The 25,002-nt window shown below is 44.1% G+C and overlaps 2 protein-coding genes across 5 annotated transcripts in view; one reads left to right on the top strand and one right to left on the bottom strand.

Moving 5' to 3' along the window:
• Nucleotides 1-17,880, top strand: part of TRMT2B (tRNA methyltransferase 2B) — a 78,746-nt gene extending 60,866 nt beyond the window's left edge. Inside the window, exon 14 of the transcript XR_001755729.3 lies at nucleotides 17,524-17,880. The gene's annotated coding sequence lies outside the window, so the exon portion shown is untranslated. The remainder of the gene's footprint in view (nucleotides 1-17,523) is intronic.
• Nucleotides 415-21,538, bottom strand: ARL13A (ARF like GTPase 13A). Of its 4 annotated transcripts, none has more exons than NR_103709.2 (9): nucleotides 21,437-21,538; nucleotides 17,498-17,570; nucleotides 17,049-17,119; nucleotides 5,330-5,579; nucleotides 4,345-4,450; nucleotides 3,690-3,856; nucleotides 2,963-3,053; nucleotides 2,688-2,868; nucleotides 415-910 (listed from the first exon to the last, which is right to left on the bottom strand). NR_103709.2 is itself a non-coding variant. In NM_001162491.2 (8 exons), the coding sequence occupies exons 2-8, from the start codon at nucleotides 17,554-17,556 to the stop codon at nucleotides 658-660; spliced, it is 771 nt and encodes a 256-aa protein (NP_001155963.1). In that variant the 5' UTR covers nucleotides 17,557-17,570; nucleotides 21,437-21,538; the 3' UTR covers nucleotides 415-657. The 4 variants fall into 4 exon arrangements, 2 of the variants coding, with proteins under 2 accessions (NP_001155963.1, XP_011529253.1); NR_103708.2 differs by having other exon boundaries at nucleotides 415-684; NM_001162491.2 differs by lacking the exon at nucleotides 2,688-2,868 and having other exon boundaries at nucleotides 415-684.
• Nucleotides 21,539-25,002: the final 3,464 nt, after the last annotated feature.

Genomic DNA, 25,002 nt, shown 5'->3' with positions numbered 1-25,002 from the left:
CTTTTGGAGTCCTGACATGACACTCAAGGACATGCTCATTGGAATGTTTCAGATTTTTGGATTAGGGATGCTCAACCAGTAAGTACATATAATGCAAATATTCATAAATGAAAATAAATCTGAAATCTGAAATGCTTTTGGTCCCAAGCATTTCAGATAAGGGATACTCAACCTATAGTAGTAGTAATGGTAAATAACTACTACCACTACCACTGCCACCCTTGGGATAGAGGGATCAATGCATTCAAGTGCCTACATTTTTTTGCATAGCTAACCAAATTGTTGGTAGAGGCAGCAGTTGCTGTTCCTGAAGGGACAGCAAAGCAATTGTTCTGGGCTTCACAGACAGTGTCTGGGGCTTTAAAACAAAGTTGTTTATGGAGGTATGACTGAAAATGATTCAGTAGAGCATAATTCTCAGCAAAGAAGTTCTATTTATTTTTGCCAATCCTTTTCTGCCTAAGAACCTTAAAGAAAAAAATACTTATTTCTAAATGAACCCTGTATTTCTAAGGCTCAGTTTTGGTTGATCACCCATGACTTATTGTCCACAAGCTTTGTCAGCAGCATCTCGGTACAAAGATGTAAAGTCTCTGTTCTTTTTTACCAAGGTGGTCTTCATTCTCAATGGATGCCATCTCACTCTTCTTGAGCCTCTCAGTGAGTATAGGATTGATTTGATGGCTAGAATATAGATATACAGGAACAACAGGGGTTCTCAGGGATGTGATATTAGAGTAGGTGGAGTTGTATGGGGAGTGTAGAAATATTATCAAATGGAAATTTAAAAACCGGGTAGTCCTGATAGTTCTGGAGATGAACCTGTTTGCTAAGGGAGGGATATCAACTGTTTCTTTTGGTTTCCCTCTGTTTTTCTCTTTACTTTCTCTGTTACTTTCTTTTACTTTCTCTGTTGAAAGTAAAAAGAGAAAAAGGTCAGTTATTGTAAGTGAAGCCAAGTGCCAGGCTTCCTGTCCTTCCCAGACCATTTCATGGTAGGAGGGTATTGGCCAGTTTCCAACAGGGTATAGACTGCACCCCATGAGGTGCCCATCCTCTGCCCTGGCCTCGTACTTTCTCTCACTCTTGCTCTCTCCCCTCTGCCCTTCATTTAAGTAGTATTAACTATAGGAACCAAAGGCTTCTTCACAGGAATTTTCCAGTAACATCTTATCTGTGTCCCAGGTATCCATTCTCTTTTTTGCCATAAGTTCTGGAGTTATAGAAAGGAAAATGGATTTAAATTTTGGACAAAGATTTAGGGGTAGTTATCTAAAAAAACACTTCCTCTTCTACCACTTCCTTCCGCTCTACTCTCTGCTCTCATCCTCACCCCTTGTCCCCAGAGCAGTGTCTGTCTCCTTGTTAGTGGCCCAGGCCAAGTCCAAGCCCCTCCATGTAGGTGTGACAACCCAAAGCTCCAAGGTAGCCAGGGATATAAAAGGCCATGTCCCTTTCAGAGCTGAGATGACATTATAATATTGACAGTTGACAATCTTGGAGACTGAGGTGCTAAGGAATACTGAGAATGAGTGGCCAGTAACTACAGCCTTTAAGCCCTCATAGCTTATTTTTGTATTGGGAGAAGTGATATCTGCTTATTATAAAAAAAGAAAATGTCTTTTTTTTTTTTTTTTGAGATGGAGTCCCGCTCTGTTGCCAGGCTGGAGTGCAGTGGCGCTATCTCGGCTCACTGCAAACTCCGCCTCCTGGGTTCAAGCGATTCTCCTGCCTCAGCCTCCCCAGTAGCTGGGAATACAGGCGTCCGCCACCATGCCCGACTAATTTTTGTATTTTTAGTAGAGACCGGGTTTCACCATGTTGGCCAGGATGGTCTTGATCTCTTGACCTCATGATCCGCCCGCCTCAGCCTCCCAAAGTGCTGGGATTACAGGTGTGAGCCACTACGCCTGGCCAAAAAGAGAAAATTTCTAATAAAACAAAAATCCAAAGGAAAGGCACCTTGGCCTTTTACATCTCACAACCACCTAGTATCTTTCAGTGATATTCCTCCAGGTATTTCTATATCTGTATATGTATCGTGCTATACGTGCTGTATTCTAACTTGCTATTTTCCCTAACAAAAATGCCAGGTTGTGGAAAACTTTCCATGTCAGTAAATATAAGTCCACATTAGCCTTTTTAATGTATGCATAGTATTCCATGGCATAGATGCATCCTAATTTATTTAGCCATTCTCCATTGTTGGACATATAGGATGTTTCCTACTTTTACTTATTGTACACAGTGCTGTGATTAAACATCCTTGAGCATCGTTTTTTGGGTACTTGCGTAATTATCCTTGGAGACAGCTCAAGAATTGAGATTACTGGTTCATAGTGTATTCATGTTTTTAAATTCTTGATATATATATATATATATATATATATATATGAGATATATTATCTCATATATATATAAAGTTCTTGTACTTTCACCACTGGAATAATAAACTTTAAGATAACCCTATAGCCATCTAAAGATCTTATGTCAACCAGTGCTGGGGCATCATGCTGGACTACCAGAAGATGGTACCCAAGCACCCTTCCTACAGGAAGGTGCTTTTCTCCTAATCACCAACCATAGAGTGAGGAAAGAAATTCAGGCTCAAAATTGGAATACTATTGTAGAAATTGTTAGGGAAGGCCTATGTAAATTTTCTTCTCTAACCACTGATCCAGCATTACCTTCAAAAATATTGTCATCAGCATATGGAGCTGGAGTCTATAAGCCACTCCTTCAATTGTAGCAAAGCTTCGTAGTATTCTGAGCTCTCATTCTCCTAGAACATTCACCTTCTTTCATGGGTTCATCTAAAGCAAATGTTACTGACATATTCTTTTTAGACCATAATCTCGTACCTTCTTTCTGTACAGCAAGAAGATGATGGGGGGGAAAGTTAGTTGGTGCCCACGTGTTCAGGGATTGGTCACTGAATATTAACATTTAAAGGGCCATTTACCTGTAGGATTGACTTTAGAGGCTTAGCTTCGATTGAGCATTGTTCTAGATGCTGTCTTTTCTCCTTTGACATTCCTGTTCTGGTGGAGAAGCTGGTGGAAGATGGAAAGGACAGCAGTAGTAGAAACGGACACACTTCAAGCTTCTTTATCTAATGCAGCTACTACCCCATCCCTGCCATATGCCTTTGGGCAATGAAAGTGACAACAGAGCAAGAGGATGTTTAGGCCTTTTGCTCCTCAAAACTCTGATCACCTCCTATTTTCTTTTTCTTTTTCGTCTTTTCAACATTTCTGTCCTCTCCCATCATTCCTCATTATTGGGAGGATTATAGAACTAGAGGCTGAGAATATTGAGTAGGTTCATGGCATTTATCCATAGAATAATGCCAGTAGGCTCCTTAAGGGGCTCATGTTCCTTTTCTCCTCCACATGGCAAATCAGATATTAGAAACCCTGTTTTGGGGAAGCTCTAATGCTGATAGGTTGGCTTACCTTTATGAAAATCATTCCCCTCATATGACCACTCAAGTTATGCCAGGGATGGGGTATACCTAACAATGTTGGAGTGTTGGTGGGCACTGCCCTAGCCCCATTTGAGCCAATGATATCAAGAGACTTGCTCAATGCCACCCAGGATCCAAGCACCTCCCAGAACTCCTTGCTCGTGAGAAAGACTGATCCCTGCAGCTTTTCTTATCAGCAAATCTCATAGCGGCATCTCAGTACCTGTGTGATGAGCATCTTTCTCCAGAGCCTGTGTTATTCTTGGAGATTGAGATGCTCGAGGTAGGTGGTAGTTGGCAAGTATCAATGACAGCTAATAGCCAGCGCAGTCCTTCAACTATGGGCTGATGGTTTCTTCTTTCAAGGTTTCTGATGGCTGAACATGGCTCCTGTGACAAAAGAGAAGAGAAGGCTGCAGACCTGGAGCCTGGGACCCCTGGGGCCCGCAGAACCAGTCACTCTCATTCAAAGAGTGAAGGAACACATAAACTCTGCTATGCCTAGAGAGGCTCTGAGACTTCTAGGAGACACACAGCATTCACATCTGAGAAGGCAAATGACAGACATAAAATCTGAGGTCCTTTAATAAAGTGGCTGTGGTGTCTTGGGTGTGTGACCTTGAGCAAGTCACGTAGAGTCTCTGAGCCTTGGCTTTTTTATCCATAAAATGGGGATATTCATGTGTCCCCTTTACAGAATTATTTTGAAGGCAGAATGCAATATTTATTATCACCATCAAGTCAGGAATCACTGTGGGTGTTGCCTGACAGGGAGAGACTTTGCCCCAAACCCAACATATGGGACTGACTATAGAATGGGCCAAGGGCTGCATCAGCTGGGCTCCAGAGGAAGAGGGAAGGAAGAGGTTGACACTTACTACTCGGCATGGGCACTTATTCTCTTTCACTAGCTTCTTTAGAAGTAGATAGTCAATAATATCACAAGGCATGAGGGCTTTCTTCTTGTCTTGTTTGTTTGCTAAACTAAAACAGCATATGAGAGAGGGAGGAAAAGAGTGGAAGAGTGAAACCAAAACAGAAGCAAAAGGCGAGAAAAGAAGGGAAAGAGGAGGAGAACAAATTCTACTATAACTGCTACATATCCAGGAATTAGGTTTAAAGACATACCTAATGAGATGAGCTAGACATTTTTCTAGTCAACTTCCAATGATGGAAAGTATAGCACAAATCATTTGAATCCAAGATAGTCCCCCCAGGGCTCATTTCTCACTTCCCCTACATTATGCTATCAAACTTTAATTAGAATTGCTAACTGGGCTATGAACATATTTGGAGTTTTTACATCCTTTCCCAAACTCTGTTCATGCTCTAGTTGGGGTTGCTAATGAGGAATGAAAGAAGCATAAAGGGAGATGGGGGCGGGGATGAGAATTGACTGGCCACCTGCATTATCACCCTGGAATAAGTGCTAGTTATGTAACTTTTGAGCAATCTGATCAGAGAGGAGGTCATTGGCATCAATTATACAAGATAGGAGTTCTCTGCTATCATGAGGTTTCAGGATCAGAGACCGAAACCAGAAAAGATGATAAGCAAATTCAGGAAGATAGTCTTCAGGAAGAGTCAAGGGGTGGAGGTGGTGGATACCACTTTTCATTTCCCTTTGATGCTTCCCTTCAAAATTACCTTTGTACAGTTAGGTAACTTGTCCCCCATGGCAGTGTGTGGTAGAAAGTAGCTCTTGAGAACAAACCTCAGAAAATTGGGCCGCTCTACCTCACTGAGCCTAAGGGAACAGGAGGCCTAGCTGGGTGTGACAAAGGGACCACCCCACCCTTCATTTCTATACTTTTAAGGGTACAAATTGGGAAGCAGAAATAGGACAGAAAGGCAGAATCTTACATTAAGATGGGTTTCCCTGCCACTCTTTTATCGGACAGCAGATGTGTTAAGATGATCTTCACTTCCTGCATGCGTCTTATGTCACTGGAATCCAGGACGAAAACAAGCCCATGGGCCTGTGCATAGTAGTTTGGCCATGCTTCCCGGCCCTTCAGGTCTCCATTCAGGTCATAGATGGAAAGTTCATACTCATCTAACAAAAGTGTAGTCAGTTCCGATTTCATGCAATGGTCTGTCTTACTGGGAAGTACTGTGCATAGGGGAAAAGAGGAGAAGCAATCACTTAGATCGAAACTCCATACTCATCTAACAGGAGTAGAGTCGGTTCCGATTTCATGCAGTTGTCTATCCTGCTGGGAAGTACTATGCAGAGGGGAAGAGAGGAAAAGCAATCACAAAGTAGGGAAATATAGTTAGATCAAATAATTTGTTGAACCCTGACTAGAGCCTGCTCTGAGAAATCCCACTGAAGCATCCTGCCACCCTGCCCATACTTGGGGGCTATCTTCCTAAATCATCGCTTTACCCATGCTATCCTCTCCTGGCTCAGTAACCTTTAGTGAGTGTCCACTGCTTCCAGAGATAATACAGACTCCTTCACCTCCTAACCTGCCAGACCTATCTCCTAGCGCTGTAACCTGACAAGTGTCCACACTGTCCCTAGTACATACCCAATCTGTTCTTCCCTTGGCTCCTTTGCCCTTACTTCTCCCACTCTACATCAATGTCTTGCTCTCTCTTGCCCTGGGATGTTACAAGATGCCATTCTCTCTGCCTAGAACACTTCTACTCTTTGCTTAGTTAATGCCTATTTTTTAAAATGTCAATTTTGATCTTGTTTATTCTGGAGTTTTCCCACACACCAGCCATCTGGATAAGGTACCTTTCTTCTGAGTTTACCATTGTCATAGCACATATTACAGTGTTGTAAATTCTATGGTTTATTTATCTGGGTTGTAAACTGCAACAGGACAGGAACCCTTTCAATTTTATTGAAATTTATTCACCATTACATTCATGATGCCAAGCACATTCATTATTGGATTAATCTGATAAATGAATGAATGAACAGGAGGTCCTTCTCTCCCACCCTTCAATACCCAGCTCAAGTACTGTTTAGGAAGACTTCTCTGGTCTGTCCACTTCTCACTTCTCTCTCTCTTTCTTGTTGAGCACATGGTCTGTTGAGCTGGTCCTTCACCTCTTTTTGTGCTTGCTTTGTCTCTCCAACTAAAACGTAAGCTATATGAGGGAGGATGTCTGTATTACCTTACACACAGTAGGTGTTCAATAAATGTTTATGGTGGTTGTTACTGTAGATGAGGGTATGAAGTTGTCTCCCACATATCTCTTCCAAGAAACCATGCTAGACTTAGACACATTTTCCTTTGAAAAGCTATAGCCAGAACACAAAATCTCATAGGGAATTCCATACCTCATTCAACTCCCATAGAAATGGAGTTGAAAACGGTAGTCTTGGCTGGGCACGGTGGCTCGCGCCTGTAATCCCAGCACTTTGGGAGGCTGAGGCGGGCAGATCACCTGAAGTTAGGAGTTCAAGACCAGCCTGGCCAACATGGCAAAACCCCATCTTTACTAAAAATACAAAAAAAGAAAAAAAAAAACAAAAAACAACTTAGCCGGGTGCGGTGGCACACGCCTGTAATCCCAGCTACCTGAGAGGCTGAGGCAGGAGAATCGCTTGAGCCCTGGAGACAGAGGTTGCAGTGAGCTGAGATTACGCCACTGCACTCCAGCATGGGGGACAAGAGTGAAACTCCATCTCAAAAAAAAAAAACAAAAAACAAAAAAAAAAGAAGGAAAATGGAAAACAGCAGCCTTTATATGCGTTCCAGTCTGTTGAACTGACCGTTCTAGCCTAGCTCTCTTCCCACATTAGTAGCAAAATGACTTTATACATTCTCTGCACCCATACCTGGGAGCACTAAGACTAGAATGCATAACTTCTTATTTGTAGTCTTAGATCTGCATGTGACATTTTCCATAGCATTGCTAAAATGAGTCATTAACGTGAAAAGTTAGTAATATACTTTTGGGTCTTTGGAAATGAGAGTACATATATATGTGTGTATATGTATATATTATTATTATGTTTAAATGTGATTTTCATAACATCTCTTCTGATTTCATGTTAGGCAATGAACTGTTAAATTATAGTTTTCAGATAAAATAATTTTCAGCCAAAACTTTGATGTGATATTTGCTATATCTGTATTAGACTACTCAAAAATAACAAGTGGGCCAGGGACGGTGGCTCACACCTGTAATTCCAGCACTTTGGGAGGCCGAGGCAGGCAGATCACCTGAGGTCAGGAGTTCGAGACCAGCCTGGCCAACATGGTGAAACCCTGTTTCCACTAAAAATACAAAAATTAGCCAGGCGTGGTGGCGGGCACCTGTAATCCTAGCTACTCGGGAGGCTGAAGCAGGAGAATCACTTGAACCCGGGAGGCAGAGGTTGCAGTGAGCTGAGGTCTCACCATTGCACTTCAGCCTGGGTGACAGAGCGAGACGTCTGTCTCAAAAAAAAAAGTGAATAGGTTAAAACTCTAAAGGTAATATTAGAGTTTCCTGCATCGAGAAAAGCTTTATATATTTTTTTTGCCCTGTCAGAGAAAAAAATTTTTTTCCTAGTTTTCTTTTTCTTTTTACTTGAAACCTTACCAGTTCCTTCAGTTAGTGCATTCTATTGTTGGTGAACCCTAGATGCTGTGAGCGGTTGTTCCCTGACAATTTACATTTATCTTATTTCCTCTATTAACGTATAAACACTCTAAGGACCGGTACTGAGTCTGATTTCATTTCTGTATCCCTAGTGGAGTGTTTCATAAAGCATGGTCCGGGCACCATATAATTGAGAATTACATGGGGGTGATTGTTAAAGCCTAGTCCAGACCAAATGAATCAAAACCTCTAGGCTTGGGACACAAGCATTTGCATGTTTAATGAACTCCCTATGGTTAACAAAATCCTGAGGTGATTCTTCTGCACTTTAAAGCTTGAGTACCACTACTCTAGAGAGCCATGAAACCCATGCCTGATTGTGTCTCAGCATCATCTGGTGAGTTTGTTAAGATACAGATTCCATGCTACACACCTGTAGTCCCAGCTACTTGGAAGCCTGAGGTGGGAGGATCGCTTGAGCCTGGTCAATCGAGGCTGTAGTGACCCATGATCACACCACTGTACCACTGCACCCCAGTCGGGGTGACAGAGTGAGACTCTGTCTCAAAAAAAAAAAAAAAAGAAAACTGTAGATTCCATAGGCCCTTCCCAGACCAAACTTTTGAATCTCCAGGTCCCGTCAGTAGGTTTGAAAGCTCCCCAGGTGATTCTGGTTATTGGTTCTCAGTATCCACTGTTCTCCATGATCACCTGTAGAGCATTTTATTTATTTATTTATTTATTTATTTATTTATTTATTTTTTAAGCCTGGAGTGCAGTGGCACCATCTCGTCTCACTACACCCTTTGCCTCCCGAGTTCAAGCAATTCTCCTACCTCAGCCTGCTGCGTAGCTGAGATTACAGGCCCCCACCACCACACCCAGCCAATTTTTGTATTTTTAGTAGAGACGGGGGTTTCACCATGTTGGCCAGGCTGGTCTCGAACTCCTGACCTCAGGTGATCCACCCGCCTTGGCCTCCCAAAGTGCTGGGATTACAGGCGTGAGCTACCACACCCAGCCACCTCCAGGCCTCGTTCTCTCAAGGTTTGAGTCCATAGATCTGGGGTGGGGCTGAAGCATCATGATTTTTTTAAAAAGCTCCCCAGCTGATTGAAATATATAGCCAGGTTTGAAAGGCGCTAGTCTAAATGTCCTCATTTAGGACACCTGCTTGTGCCAGTGGTTGGGTTTCTTCTTGCCTTTCATGACCATGCCAGACAAAACAGTTTTAGTGAATGGTCAATAATAATGACTTGGAGATGGCGGCATAAGATGGCCAAATAGAATCCTTCAGTGATGGTCACCCCTGCAGGAACACCAAATTGAACAACTATCCACATGAAAGCACCTTCATAAGAACCAAAAATTAGGTGAGCGATCACAGTACCTGGTTATAACATCTGTATTTTTTTCTTTTTTTGAGACAGGGTCTCACTCTGTCATCCATGCTGGAGTGCAGTGGCTCAGTCTCAGCTCACTGCAGCCTTGACCTCCTGGACTCAAGTGATCCTCCCACCTTAGCCTCCTGAGTAAATGGGATTACAGGCATGTGTCACCATACCTGGCTAATTTTTTTTTTTCTTTTTTTTTTTGTAGAGAGTTTTGGCATGTTGCCCAGGCTGGTCTTGAACTCCTGGGCTCAAGTGATCTGCCTGCCTTGGCCTCTCAAAGTGCTGGGATTGCAGGCATGAGCCCCCGCACCCCACCTTGGTTATAACATCATGTCAAGGAAAGAGGCACTGAAGAGGGTGGGAAAGAGTCTTGAATCACCAGCACCACCCTTTCCTCATCCCCTGGCAGCACCACATGGCACAGAGAGAATCTGTGCTTGAAAGAGAGAGTGCAGTGATTGTAGGACTTTGGATTGGAACTCAGTGCTGCCCTGTCACAGCAGAAAACTACATAGGGCAGAATTTGCCCAGCACTTACGGAGGAAGCATTTAGACCAGCCCTAGCCAGAGGGAAATTGTCCATTCCAACAGTTGGAACCTGAGTTCCAGCAAGCCCTGCCACCATGGCCTGAAGTGCTCTGGGGTGCTAAATAAATTTAAAAGGCAGTCCAGGCCACAAGGACTGCGGTTCCTGGACAAGTCCTGGTGCTGTGATGGGCTTGGAGCCAAGGACTCAGGGGGCATGCAACCTAGTGAGTCACCAGCCAGAGTGACCAAGGGAGTGCTTGTGTCACCCCTCCCACCAGTGCCGGGCAGCACAGCTTGCAGCTCCAGGAGGAGAGGGAAGAGTAAAGAGAACATTGTGTTACAACTTGAATACCAGCTCAGCCACAGGAAAATAAAGTACCAGGCAGAGTCCCGAAGCCCCCATTTCAGGCCATGGCTCCCCGATGACATTTCTAGACCCATCCTGGGCCAGAAGGGAACCCAGTGCCCTGAAAGGAAGGACCCAGTCTTGACAGGATTCACCACCACCTGACTAAAGAGCCCTTAGGCCTTTAGTAAACATCCCAAGCAAGCGCCAGGCAGTAGTCACCATGGGCCTTGGCCAAGACCTGGTATTGTGCTGGCTTCAGGTGTGACCCAGCACATTTTCAGCAGTGGTGGCCATCAGGAGAGACTCCTGCTTGAGGAAAGGAGAGAGAAGAGTAAAAAGGACTTTGTCTTGCAACTTCAGTACTAGCTCAGCCACAGTAAAATACAGCACCAAGCAGACTCCTGAAGTCCCTGATTCCAGGCCTTAGCTCCTGGAGGGCATTTCTAGACTCATCTTGGGCCAGAAAGGAACACACTGCCCTGAAGGGAGAGACCCAGGCCTGGCAGGACTCACTGCCTGCAGACTAAAGAGCCCTCGGGCCTTGAATAAACATTGGTGGTAGCCAGGCTATAGTCGCTATGGGCTTGGGGCTGTGGTGGCCAATTCTGCTTGAGGAAAGGGGAGAGAAATATAAAGAGGACTTTGTCTTGCAACCTGGGTACTTGCTCAGCCCCAGTAAAATAAAGCACCAAGCAGATTTCTAAAGCCCCTGACCCCAGGCCCTAGCTCCTGGTGGCATTTCTAGACCCACCCTGGACCAGAAAGGAACCTGCTGCACTGAAGGGAAATACCCTGTCCTGGCAGGATTCATCACCTACTGACTAAAGTGCCCTTGGGCCTTGAATAAATATCAGGGATAGCCAGGAAATAGTTGCCACAGGCCTTAGGTGAGACTCAGTACTGTGTTGGCTTCATGTGTGACTCAGCACAGTCTCAGTGGTCGTGGCCACAAGAGTGCTTGTATCACCCCTTCCCCAACTCCAGGCAGCTCAGCACAGAGAGAGAGACTCCATTTGTTTGGGAGAAAGTAAGGGAAAAGAACAAGAGACTTTGCCTGGTAAACCAGGGAATTCTCTCAGATCTTACCCAAGACCACCAAAATGGTACCTCTACAGCTTTACAAGAGTCACAGCATTACTAGGCTTAGGGTGTCCCCTAATGCATATACAGCTGCAGTGACCAAATATTTGATGACAACACTCAATTCCCTTTGAGTCCTTCTCAAGAAGGATGGGTAAAAACAACCCCAGCCTGCATAAATACCTAACTCTTCAATGCCCAGACACTGATGAGCATCAATAAACATCAAGACCATCCAGGAAAAATGACCTCACTAAAAGAGCTAAATAATGCACCAGTAACATATTACAGAGTGACAGAGATAAGTGACCTTTCAGACAGAGAATTCAAAATAGTTGTTTTGAGGAAGGTCAGTGAAGTCCAAGATAACACAAAGAAGGAATTCAGAATTTATCAGATAAGTTTAACAAAGATTGAAATAAGAGAGTGGCATGATATACTTAAAGTATATCAAGGAAAAAAACTTTTATCCTAGAATATTGTATCCAGCAAAATTATCCTTCAAACATGAAAGAGAAATAAAGTATTTCCCAGACAAACAAAAGCTGAGGGATTTTTGTCAACACCAGACCTCTCCTACAAGAAATGCCAAAGGGAGTACTTCAATCTGAAAGAAAAGGATGTTAATGAGCAATAAGAAATCACCTGAAGGTATAAAACCCCCTGGTAACAGCAACTCATACAGACAAATACAGAATATTGTTATAATACTGTAATTGTGGTATGTAAACTACTCATAGCTTGAGTACAAAGACTAAAAGATGAACCTATCAAAAGTAACAACCACAGCAACTTTTCAAGACAGTATAATAAGATATAAATAGAAACAACAAAAAGTTAAAAAGCAGAGGGGATGAAGTTAAAGTGTACAATTAATATTAGTTTTCTCTTTGCTTGTTTTTGCAATCACAGTTGTCATCAGTTTAAAGTAATGGGGTTTCCAGGGGGCAGTGGGTGAATATTAAAAAAAAATGGGTTATAAGATGTTATTTGCAAGCCCCATGGTAACTTCAAATCAAAAAACCTACAACAGATAGACAAAAAATATAAAGCAATAAATCAAAACATACTACCAGAGAAAATCACTTTCACAAAAAGGAAGACAGGAAGGAAGGAAGGAAAAGACCAAAAAACAACCAGAAAGCAAATAACAAGGTGACAGTAGTAAGTCCTTATTAATAATAACATTGAATATAAATGGACTAAACTCTCCAATCAAAAGACATAGGGTGGCTGAGTGGATTTAAAAAAAAAAACACATGATCTGTTTCCTACAAGAAACACACTTCATCTATAAAGACACATATAGACTGAAAGGGATAGAAAATTATATTCTATACAAATGGAAACCCAAAAGAGCGGGAGTAGCTATACTTCAGACAAAACAGATTTCAAGACAAAAACTATAAAAAGAGACGAAGAATGTCATTATATAATGATAAGGGGATCAATTCAGCAAGTGTATATAACAATTATATATGCACCCAACACTGGAGCACCCAGATATACAAAGCAAATATTATTAGAGCTAAAGAGAGAGAGATAGACCCCAATACAGCAATAATTGGAGATTTCAGCACCCCACTTTCAGTTTGGACAGATTATCCAGATCAACAATGAAACATTGTACCTAATCTGCACTATAGAGCAAATGGACCTAATAGATATTTACAGAACATTTCATCCAATGAATGTAGGATATACATTATTCTCCTCAGCATATTGATCATTCTGGCAAGGCTGTGGAGAAAGGGGTACCCTCATACACTGTTGTTGAGAATATAAATTATGTTCCACTATGAAAGTTCCTCAAAAAACTAAACATAGAACTACCATGTGATGCAGCAATCCACCTGCTGTGTATGTATCCAAAAGAAGGGAAATCAGTATGTTGAAGAGATATCTGGTGTCCCATGTTTATTGCAGCACTGTTCACAATAGCCCAGATTTGGAAGCAACCTAAGAGTCCATCAACAGATGAATGGATGAAGAAAATGTGGTACATATACACAATGGAGTACTATTTAGCCATAAAAAAAGAATAAGATCTTGTCATTTGCAGCAACACGGGCAGAACAAGTACATTATGTTAACTGAAATAAGCCAGGCACAGAAAGATAAATTTCGTATGTTCTCACTCATTTGTGGAAGCCCTAGAGTAAAATAATTGAACTCATGGAGATAAAGAGTAGAAGGACACAGCCGGGTGTGGTGGTACATGCCTATAATCCCAGCACTTTGGGAGGCCGAGGCAGGCAGATCACCTGATGTCAGGAGTTCGAGACCAGCCTGGCCAACATGGTGAGACCTCGTCTCTAATAAAAATACAAAAATAAGCCAGGTGTGGTGGCACACGCCTGTAATCCCAGCTACTTGGGAGGCTGAGGTAGGAGAATTGCTTGAACCCAGGAGGTGGAGGTTGCAGTGAGCCGAGATCGTGCCACTGCACTCCAGCCTGAGCAACAGAACGAGACTCCGTCTCAAAAAAAAAAAAAAAAAAAAAAAAAAAAAGAAGAGAGTAGAAGGATAATTACTACAGGGTGGAAAGGATAGTGAGGGGAGGGAATGGGATGGTTAATGGGTACAAAAATATAGTTCGAATGAATAAGATCTAGTATTCGATAGCACAACAGAGTGACTATAGTCAGCAATAATTTGTTGTACATTTAGAGTAAGTGAGGGAGTACAACTGGAATGTTTGTAACACAAATAAATGGTGAATGCTTGAGGTGATGGATACCCCATTTACCCTGATTTGATCATTACACATTGTATACCTGTATCAACGTATCTCACGTATCTCATAAATATATACACCTACAATGTACCCATAAAAATTTAACAAATTCTAAAAACCACTAAAAAATGGCTTGTGTGCCAAAATGTTTTATAGCTAGTGTCTTCAAGTGTTCACAGTTCTTACTTACAGACGGGCATTTCCTTCCTAGGCAATTATCTGTTCTTGGCAAAAAACATTCGCAGCAGCTGGGTGCAGTGGCTTAAGCCTGTAATCCCACCACTTTGGGAGGCCAAGGCGGGTGGATCACCTGAAGTCAGGAGTTTGAGACCAGCCTGACCAACGTGGTGAGACCCTGTCTCTACTAAATACAAAAAGTTAGCACATGCCTGTAATGTCAGCTACTTGGAGGCTGAGGCAGGAGAATCGGTTGAATCCAGGAGGCTGAGGTTGCAGTGAGCCAAGATTGTGCCATTGCACTCCAGCTTGGGCAACAAGAGTGAAACTCCGTCTCAAAAAACAAAAAACTAACTAACAACAACAACAAAAACATTTGCAGGGACAAGGGAGGTGAATTATTCAATTTTGGGCACAGAGCAACCTACTAGGTTGATTCTGATGGTCCTGCGTAGACAGAGGTGGCCTGAGACATTCTTCAGAATGTGATATCAGTGCCCATTAAAAAAATTATCTGTGAATGTAGTCACAACCAATAGATTTATGAATAATCCCCCAGGTATTCACTGAGCACAGGGCAAGTTATGCAGTAACAAAATAAATAGACTCTAGGCAGTGTCCTCTAGGAATTAAAATGGGAAACACACCATTCTCACAGGCAAAATAGCATACTGGTAATTCCAGGTGAGTGCTTCCAAAAGCTGGCTGGCCATCAGAAACCCCTGAGGAGTTCTTAAAATATAGATTCCTAGGGCCCACCGAGACTAAAGGGAATCCAGGGATGAGGTTGAGTTGGGGCTCTAGAAAATTATCCCCACGTTTTTCAATAATCTTGTGATTTTTGCTGGCTCCTGGATTTTTCCTGCTGCTATTTACCTTCTTAAACATTTCTGCCTATCAGAGAACTGGGAGAAGCAAGGAGTTAAGTTTGTTTCCTACAAGGGGGGATAAAAGGCTGAACCCATTGGCTAAAATGTGAGGCTTGGAGCTGCTAATGGGACAGAGGAAGTTGTTATAGAAAATGGCAACATGTCGCCGGGCGCAGTGGCTCACACCTGTAATTCCAGCACTTTGGGAGGCTGAGGCAGGAGGATTGCTTGAGCCCAGGAGTTCCAGACCAGCCTGGCCAACATGGTGAAACCCCATCTCTACTAAAATCCAAAAAAATCAGCCAGGCGTGGTGGTGCACACATGTAATCCCAGCTACTCGGGAGGCTGAGGCATGTGAATCGCTTGAACCTGGGAGGTGGAGGTTGCAGTGAGCTGAGATCGCACCACTGCACTCCAGCCTGGGCAACAGAACAAGACTCTGTCTCAGAGAAAAAAAAAAAAAAAGCAAAGAAAATGGCAACATGTTGTCTCAGGTGAATGGCGGAATGGGGGAGAACATCCATTCCATGAATATTTATTGAATACCTACCTGAAAATGCTAAAAGGCCACAGGCTAAAGATACAGAGAGGAAAAAATCCATTATTTCTCCTCAAGAGGCTCACAATTTAGGGGATGGACTTGCAATTGCCTGATGATGTTGTAATAAGTGCATGCCAGAGCGATGCGTGGAATAGAGTGGGAGCTGAGGAAGGAGGGCACTGATAGGGAAGGCTTTCCTGAGGTCAAGCTGGGCTGTGACTTGAGGCTTTTGATTTAGCAGGTAGATAATGATGGAGATAAAATGCTAGGTAGTGGGACAGCATGTACAGAACTAGAAAAGGGGGATGGCAAGTCATTTGTTGTGGCTGTATCAGAGGGCATGTGCAGAGAGCATGGGAAATGAAGTTGGAGGAGGACTCAGGGACCAACTCATAGAGGGCTTTGTGTGCTGCTAAGAAACTTAAGTTTTATCTTGAAGATAATGGCATTGAACAGTTTTGAGCAGGGAAGTGCCATGATCAGACTTTTATATTAAGTCCTTTCTGGTAGCTATGTGGATTGAATACTGGGGGGGACAAATGGAGATGACAAGATCAGCTAGAAGGCTGTTGCTGTAGTTCAGGGAAATTGATGAGCACTTCAGGTAGGTCAGTGGCAGAGGAGTCAGGTTAGCTTTTTTTGTTCAGGGATGCCAGGTTAGCTAAAACTCAACCACGTCATCATACTACTTCATTTATCCAATAAACATGGATGGAGGGCATCCTGTGACAGACAGTGCTGGCTTCTTTGATTGGTCCTTAATAAGTAGTGTAGTAGCTTTCTGAAATTCTGTGTAACTGCTTCTTGAAATGTCAAGATACTGAACTAGAGACCTGGTATTAAACTTGGACATATCGGAACTGACGACATTTCTCAAGCTCCAACTCTCTATATTAGCTGTCACAGAATTTCATGTTATTAAACTTCTTTATCATCCCACACTTGTCTCTCTTATCTAGACCAAATTCCACTTTAATTGAGCCCTGAAACTAGACATCATTTCAAACATGCTATCCTTCATAATTGACTGCAATGCTTTACGTAGTTTGAACTCACGCCTACTGACCCTATGAAAGGACTTTCAATTAGGATATCTTGTAAAGGGAGCAGGTGACAGACATTACATAAACAGGCTGTTTATGTAATGTGGGGAAGGGAGGGAGGGAAGGGGGAGAGAGAGAGAGAGAGACAGAGAGAGATAGAGTATGTGTGTGTGTGCGTGTGTGTTAGGAGGTGTTTATGCACAAAAAGAGGGAAATTGAGGGCCATGAAGTAATGCTAGGAAGGAAGGATTATTTCACTGGATTCTGGGGTCCATGGGAGACCCACGCCAGTATCTAATGCTCTTAGTTCCTTACATTTTTGGAATGCCTCCACAAGAACAGTTTTGCCAGAGTTGTTCAAGCCAATGATAGGGATGGTCACATTCCTAGAAATGAAAAAGAAAAATGAGCCCAAAGTCTTAAAACAGGTAGGTTTTAGGCTAAACAGAGAGTTATACTCTTCCTTATTGTTTGGGACTCTGCCTGCAGTAATCTCAATGCATGTACCATAAAAGGCCCAGCCAAAGCAGTAGAAGGTGGTATGGGAGCCCCTCACCAAAGCCCCCAAGGATGCTTTTCTTCCCTGATTCACTTAACCTTGTACAATTGGCCATCCCTCCTCAACCCTGCCCCCAATCTTACAAACACTGCTTAATCACTTCACCTAACAATATATATTATGAAGATTTGTCCCTTGAGGGACTATGGGCAGATTTGTGGGAGGAAATAGTGGAATAGGCCTAGGGAAATAATTGTAATATTACCTTCGTGTCTCTTCTGTTGTCCTTAGGCAAGAGCAGCAGGAGGACAAAAGCCGGAACATGATTCATCTTAGTTCTTAAATATTAAGAGAAGAAAGAAAATAAGAAGTAAGTCCTGTTATAAACACTGAGCCTTTAGTCAGCTTATGACTAAACAGGTGCTGATAAACAGAAAGCCTGGGATTGTTAGAAGTCTATTACTTCATTCTATCCAACTGTGTCTATAAATGTCATAGAAGGCAGCCGCCGCCGCCCGACCGCCGGGAGGATGGAGTTCAGCGGGCAGCGGAGCTGTCTCAGTCTTTGCCGCCGCGCCGGCGAGCGCCGCCCGGGAGGCAGCGGCTGGAGGAGCGGACGGGCCCCGCGGGGCCCGAGGGCAAGGAGCAGCCGCCTGCCTTGGCCTCCCAAAGTACCGAGATTGCAGCCTCTGCCCGGCCGCCACCCCGTCTGGGAAGTGAGGAGTGTCTCTGCCTGGCCGCCCATCGTCTGGGATGTGAGGAGCCCCTCTGCCTGGCTGCCCAGTCTGGAAAGTGAGGAGCGTCTCCACCCGGCCGCCATCCCATCTAGGAAGTGAGGAGCGCCTCTTCCCAGCCGCCATCACATCTAGGAAGTGAGGAGCGTCTCTGCCTGGCCGCCCATCGTCTGAGATGTGGGGAGCGCCTCTGCCCCGCCGCCCCATCTGGGATGTGAGGAGTGCCTCTGCCCGGCCGAGACCCCGTCTGGGAGGTGAGGAGCATCTCTGCCCGGCCGCCCCGTCTGAGAAGTGAGGAGACCCTCTGCCTGGCAACCACTCCGTCTGAGAAGTGAGGAGCCCCTCCGCCCGGCAGCTGCCCCGTCTGAGAAGTGAGGAGCCTCTCCGCCCGGCAGCCACCCCATCTGGGAAGTGAGGAGCGTCTCCGCCCGGCAGCCACCCCGTCCCGGCCAGCCGCCCCGTCCAGGAGGTGAGGGGCGCCTCTGCCCGGCCGCCCCTACTGGGAAGTGAGGAGCCCCTCTGCCCGGCCAGCCGCCCCGTCCGGGAGGGAGGTGGGGGGGTCAGCCCCCCGCCCGGCCAGCCGCCCCGTCCGGGAGGGAGGTGGGTGGGGGTCAGCCCCCCCGCCCGGCCAGCCGCCCCGTCCGGGAGGTGAGGGGCGCCTCTGCCCGGCCACCCCTACTGGGAAGTGAGGAGCCCCTCTGCCCGGCCAGCCGCCCCGTCCGGGAGGGAGGTGGGGGTGTCAGTCCCCCGCCCGGCCAGCCGCCCCGTCCGGGAGGGAGGTGGGGGGGGTCAGCCCCCCTGCCCGGCCAGCCGCCCCGTCTGGGAGGTGAGGGGCGCCTCTGCCCAGCCGCCCCTACTGGGAAGTGAGGAGCCCCTCTGCCCGGCCAGCCGCCCCGTCCGGGAGGGAGGTTGGGGGGTCAGCCCCCCGCCCGGCCAGCCGCCCCGTCCGGGAGGTGAGGGGCGCCTCTGCCCGGCCCCCCCTACTGGGAAGTGAGGAGCCCCTCTGCCCGGCCACCACCCCGTCTGGGAGGTGAGCCCAACAGCTCATTGAGAACGGGCCAGGATGACAATGGCGGCTTTGTGGAATAGAAAGGCGGGAAAGGTGGGGAAAAGATTGAGAAATCGGATGGTTGCCGTGTCTGTGTAGAAAGAAGTAGACATGGGAGACTTTTCATTTTGTTCTGCACTAAGAAAAATTCCTCTGCCTTGGGATCCTGTTGATCTGTGACCTTACCCCCAACCCTGTGCTCTCTGAAACATGTGCTGTGTCCACTCAGGGTTAAATGGATTAAGGGCGGTGCAAGATGTGCTTTGTTAAACAGATGCTTGAAGGCAGCATGCTCGTTAAGAGTCATCACCAATCCCTAATCTCAAGTAATCAGGGACACAAACACTGCGGAAGGCCGCAGGGTCCTCTGCCTAGGAAAACCAGAGACCTTTGTTCACTTGTTTATCTGCTGACCTTCCCTCCACTATTGTCCCATGACCCTGCCAAATCCCCCTCTGTGAGAAACACCCAAGAATTATCAATAAAAAAATAAATTAAAAAAAAAAAAAAAAAGAAAATGAAAGCTGCAATAGAAACTCATAAATGAAAAAATTATCTCCTGACCATTTTTGAGAGAATGAGAGACATATTCTGCTCAGTGTAAAAGTGGTTATTAAAGTTATTTTGAAAAATTTCATTTAAAAAAAAAAAAATGTCATAGAAGGAGGAACTGGTTATTCTCAACTGCAGCGACAAGTTCTGTGCTAATGAGTAACTTTCTTCAAAATGGGGTGATTTCTTAGTATAGCAGACTACACAGACATAATCAGATGTGACCTATCCCTTCAGCCATAGTTCATCCTTGTTAAGAATATGTTTATTCAACCTTGCGGAGGTTGGGATGATGCCTAAGAGAAGAACCAACTTAGGCTTCTAGACGGACCTATCGGGAGACCTGTTCCAAGTACCAATAATGTCTCTTCTTCAAAGATGTGGGCATTGGTGACCCACTATTAGAGATTTTATACAAGTTTTGGGGCTATCAGGGACCTTAGAGATCGTCTAGTCTGGATTCAAACATTAATCCAGGTATCCCATCCTCAAAGATTGCCAGGGAGCTGCATAAGCTTCCCAGGTGATGTCAATGCGCAGCTGGATTTGGAAGTGAATGCCTAAGTAAAAAGGATAATTTAGGCAATCACTTCAAGGTTCATCCTTGGAAAGTGGATTGTTTCTACTTTTTGGCTGTTATGAATAATGCTGCTATAAACATTTGTATATAAGTTTTTGTGTGGATATGTTTTCTTTTCTCTTGGGTATATACCTAGGAGTATTACTGCTGGGTTATATAATAAATCTATATTTAACCTCTTGAAGAACTGCCAGACTGTTTTGCAAAGTGGCTACAACATCTTACATTCCCACCAGTAATGCTTGTTTTTTGTTTACAGCTATCCTAGTGGGTGTGAGGTAGGTATTTCATTGTGGTTTCAATTTACATTTTCCTAATGACTAATTATGGTTGACCCTTGAACAACATGGGTTTGAACTGCATGAGTCTACTTATACCAGGCTTTTTTTTTTTCAACCAAATGAGGATATTTGTGAATGTGAAACCCACGTATATGCAGGGCTAACTTTTCATATACATGGGTTTCGCAGTGCCAACTGCAGGATTTGAGAATGCACAGATTTTGGTATATGAGGGGGTTCAGGAACCCATTTCCCCCGAGTTTACTGAGGGACGACTGTATGTTGAAGCCCAAAATTGGAGGAAGCCCTGGTTGGGTTAGCAAAGTACTTCAGTTAATGCTTCGATGGGCTTTGCTTAGCTATCTGATGAGCACAGTTTATGTGCCAGCTTATCAATGGATAATTTATCAGGGTTCTGCAGAGTCATCCAGTCATTTACTGTTCTGGAGAGTTGCCATTCCAAAATACTAACATTTCATAGCATTTCTTATAGCACAGCTCAGACCCTAGGAGATCATTAGGTTTCCCATAAGGACCTCCTGGAGAATGGCTCTGGCTTATGCCAGACAAAAAAGAAACTTTATATATGGCCTGTGATCAAAACCAGCCTTACTCCAGTTTTGCACATGAAGCTGATATGACCAGGAGCCTGAAACATCAGAGCCTAATTGTCTGGGTTCCTTGATAGCCATCTCCCTTGGAGAAGAGGCCAGTAACCGCTTCATGTCTGTTTCCTAATAATTGGCAGAGCCTTCTAACTTGATGTCAGGCTCTCTGTGTTTGTCAGTGCCACCAAGAAGTGTCAAATTGGCATCACACAAGTTCTTCCTTTATAAGGAAGGGTAGGTATGAAAACCCAACTGGGAAAATGATTGAATTAGGGATTGCTGGACTGATCCTTTATTTCTAGTGCCTCTTCTGGGTAGCCTGAAGTGAAATCACCTCAACTAAACCTACCATTTCCAAATTTCTTATCTGTAAAATGAAGATAGTGACATATTTTGCTTACCATGAGGTGGTTATTTATCTGATAAGTTGATTCTTTTTGGATGGAAGACATAAGATATGCAGAGTAATAGGAAGACGCATTGAGCTTTCTAGCCTTCTTGTCAGATTAACACAGCTTAGGTTGTCCATTTATAAAAGCTATGGCAATGTCCTAATAATGGTTGTCACGGTACTGACATGTCTGTGGCAACCACTACCTGGTTCATAGCAACCAAACTCATATCTCCTTACCTTGTATGATTATAGATAATTACTAAAGGAACTTTAAGTCATCATAGTTTTTATTCATTTTACAAAATATTTATATAGAATTTACTTTGTGCCAGGGCTCATTAAAGCACTTTATACACATTAATTCATTTAATCCTTACTACAGCATGACAAAGTAGGGGCTATCATTCCTACTTTTCAGAGATGAAGTTGTTCACAAAGGGGTTACATAACTTGCCAAAGGTTACCTAGCTAATAAATGGTAAAGCCAGAATTCAAACCTAGGCATTCTGGCTTCAGGGTCTGTATTAGGTCAAAGGTCTTGCAGACCTCAGATACCAGAGAAACTGCCTCTGCTCTGCGTATCTCTATCTCTTCTAGCCAAACTGTATCATACTTAGTGAACTTTTTATAAAATGCTTTATTTTTCAGAATGGTTTTAGATATACAGAAAAATTGCTAAGACAGTACAGTGAGTAACCATCCCTAACACCCAATTTCCCTCATTGTTAACATCTTACGATGCTGTATTTGTTACAATTAATGAACCAGTATTAATACATTGTTATTAACTAAAGTCCATACTTCATTCAGATTTCCTTAGTTTTTAACTTAAGCTTCTCAGATTTTGTTTTGTTTTGTTTTTTGGAGACAAGGTCTGGCTCTGTGGCCCAGGCTGGAGTGCAGTAGTGTGATCATGGCTAACTGCAGCCTCAAACTCCTGGGCTCAAGCAATCCTCCTGCTTCAGCCTCCCAAGTACCTAGGACTGCAGGCATGCACCACCATCCTTGGCTAATTTATTTTTTATTCTTTTTAGAGAAGGGTCTTGCTATATTGCCCAGGCTGGTCTTGAAGCCTGGCCTCAAGTGATCCTCCCACTGTGGCCTCCCAAAGGGGTGGAATTATAGGCATGAGATACCACATCCAGCCACTCTATTTGTCTTTGATGACCTTGACAGGAGTGTTCATCAGGTATTTTGTAGAATACCCCTCACTTGTTGTTTATCTGATGTTTTTCTCATGATTAGACTGAAGTTATGTGTTCTTGGGAGGAAGGCCACAGAGGTAACGTGCCATCCTCATCACATCATATCAAGGATACATGCTGTCAACATGACTTATCACTGATGATGTTAACCTTGATCACCTGGCCGAGGCAGTGTTTATCAGATTTCTCCACTGTAAAGATACTCCCCCTACTTTCTATCCTGTACTCTTTAGAAGGAAATCAGTATGCATTGGCCATACTTATAGAATGGGGAGTTATCCTCCACCTCCTTGAGGTGGAGTATCTACAAAAGTTGTTTGGAATTCTTCTGTATGGGGGGGGGGTCTGTCTATTCTTACACATTTGTTTATTAAATCATTCATTTATACAGTATGGGCTCACATATATTTATTTTATCCTCTGATTATAATCAATACCTCTTTATTTTCTTGCTCAAGTCGTTCCAACTTTGGCCTGGGGAGCTCTTTCAGTTGACTCCTCCCTCTGACATACTCTCATCATTGTAGGTTTTTAAAAATTTTTATTATTCTTATTTTGAGACAGAGTCTTGCTCTGTCACCCAGGCTGGAGTGCAGTGGCACGATCTCAGACCACTGCAACCTCTACCTCCCAGGTTCAAGCAATTCTACTGTCTCAGACTCCCAAATAGCTGGGACTACAGGCGCACACCACCATGCCCGGCTAATTATTGTATTTTTAGTAGAGATAGGGTTTCACCATGTTGGCCAGGCTGGTTTTGAACTCCTACCTCAGGTGATCCACCCACCTTGGCCTCCCAAGTGCTTGGATTACAGGTATTAGCCACCGCATCCGGCCCACATACTTACTCTTAATTCTAAATTTTGAATTGGATCACAGACCAGGCCTTCAGCTAGGGTGACTTATGTATCTATTTGACCAGAACAGACTTGATGTGTGTTTTCCCCCAAGCCCATAGCCAAACTTGTATCCTAGCCTGTTTTCTTTCTTTCTTTCTTTCTTTTTTTTTTAAGACCAAGTTTTGCTCTTGTCGCCCAGGCTGAAGTGCAATGGTGCGATCTCGGCTCACTGCAACCTCCACCTCCCGGGTTCAAGCGATTCTCCTGCTTCAGCCTTCTGAGTAGCTGGGATTACAGGCTTGTGCCACCACACCTGGCTAATTTTTCTGTATTTTTAGTAGAAATGGGGTTTTGCCATGTTGACCAGGCTGGTCTTGAACTCCTGACCTCTGGTGACCGCCCCCGTCGGCCTCCCAAAGTGCTGAGATTACAGGCGTGAGCCACCGTGCCCGGCCTCCTGGCCTGTTTTCTTACGGTGTCTGGGCTTAGAATGGTTTTTACATTCTTAAAGGGTTAAAAAGAAAAAGAATATATGACAGAGACCGTATGTGTCTTCTAAAACCTAAAATATTTACTATCTGGCCATTTTTAGGAAAAATTTGCCAACCTCCATCCCAGAATCATTACTAATAGTGCCTCCTTTCATGCACAAAAGTGTCCAGGCTTGGATGATACTCTATATGAACACTTATCTTTATCTGAATGAGGCACTTTACAGTCCTTTGAAAGGTCTCAGCTGAAGGCTTTTCTAAATATGTAGATTGATTTTTGGCCAACTGGAGGTTGCGTTTTCCCTTTCTTTTCTCCATACTTGCCATCCAAGGGGAGCTGTCTATAGCTGAGATCTTGTGCTAGCCATCAAGGGAAGTAACCCAGTTGATACTGCTGTTTTTCTGTCATGCCCAGAAATGTGTTAGGTAGAGGAATAATTTACTGTACCTTTCCCCTATCTTGATTTAGTTGTTTTCTTATTTTATAGATGACTCTGAATTCATGTTATTTTCTTTGGTACCTGCTTAGAAGTATGGAGGAAAAGTTTTGACTGAAGAAGGTGAATGGAAATGTGACTGAGACAGGAAACGTGACTGAGACAGGCTAAATTCTGATTAGACCTTGTATTAGGCCATTCTCACACTACTATAAAGGAATACCTGAGAGCTGAAAAGAGTTTTAATTGGCTCTCAGTTCTAGTGGCTGTACAGGAAGCATGGCACCAACATCTGCTCGGCTTCTGGGGAGGCCTCAGGGAGCTTTTACTCATGGCAAAAGGTGAAGCTGGAGCAGGCACATCACATGGTGACAGCAAGAGCAAGAGAGTTGGGGGGACGTGCCACACACTTTTAAACAACCCGATCTTAGGAGAATTCACTCACTATCATGAGGACAAACCATGAGGGATCCACCCCCATGACCCAAACGCCTCCCAGCAGGCCCACTTCCAACATTAGGGATTACATTGCTTTTTTTTTTTGAAACGGAGTTTCACTCTCGTCACCCAGGCTGGAGTGCAGTGGCGTAATCTCAGGTCA

The sequence above is a fragment of the Homo sapiens genome, chromosome X, assembly GCF_000001405.40.
Source record: "Homo sapiens chromosome X, GRCh38.p14 Primary Assembly".
NCBI classification, from domain to species: domain Eukaryota; kingdom Metazoa; phylum Chordata; class Mammalia; order Primates; family Hominidae; genus Homo; species Homo sapiens.
This window is presented reverse-complemented; position numbering and strand designations above follow the sequence as displayed.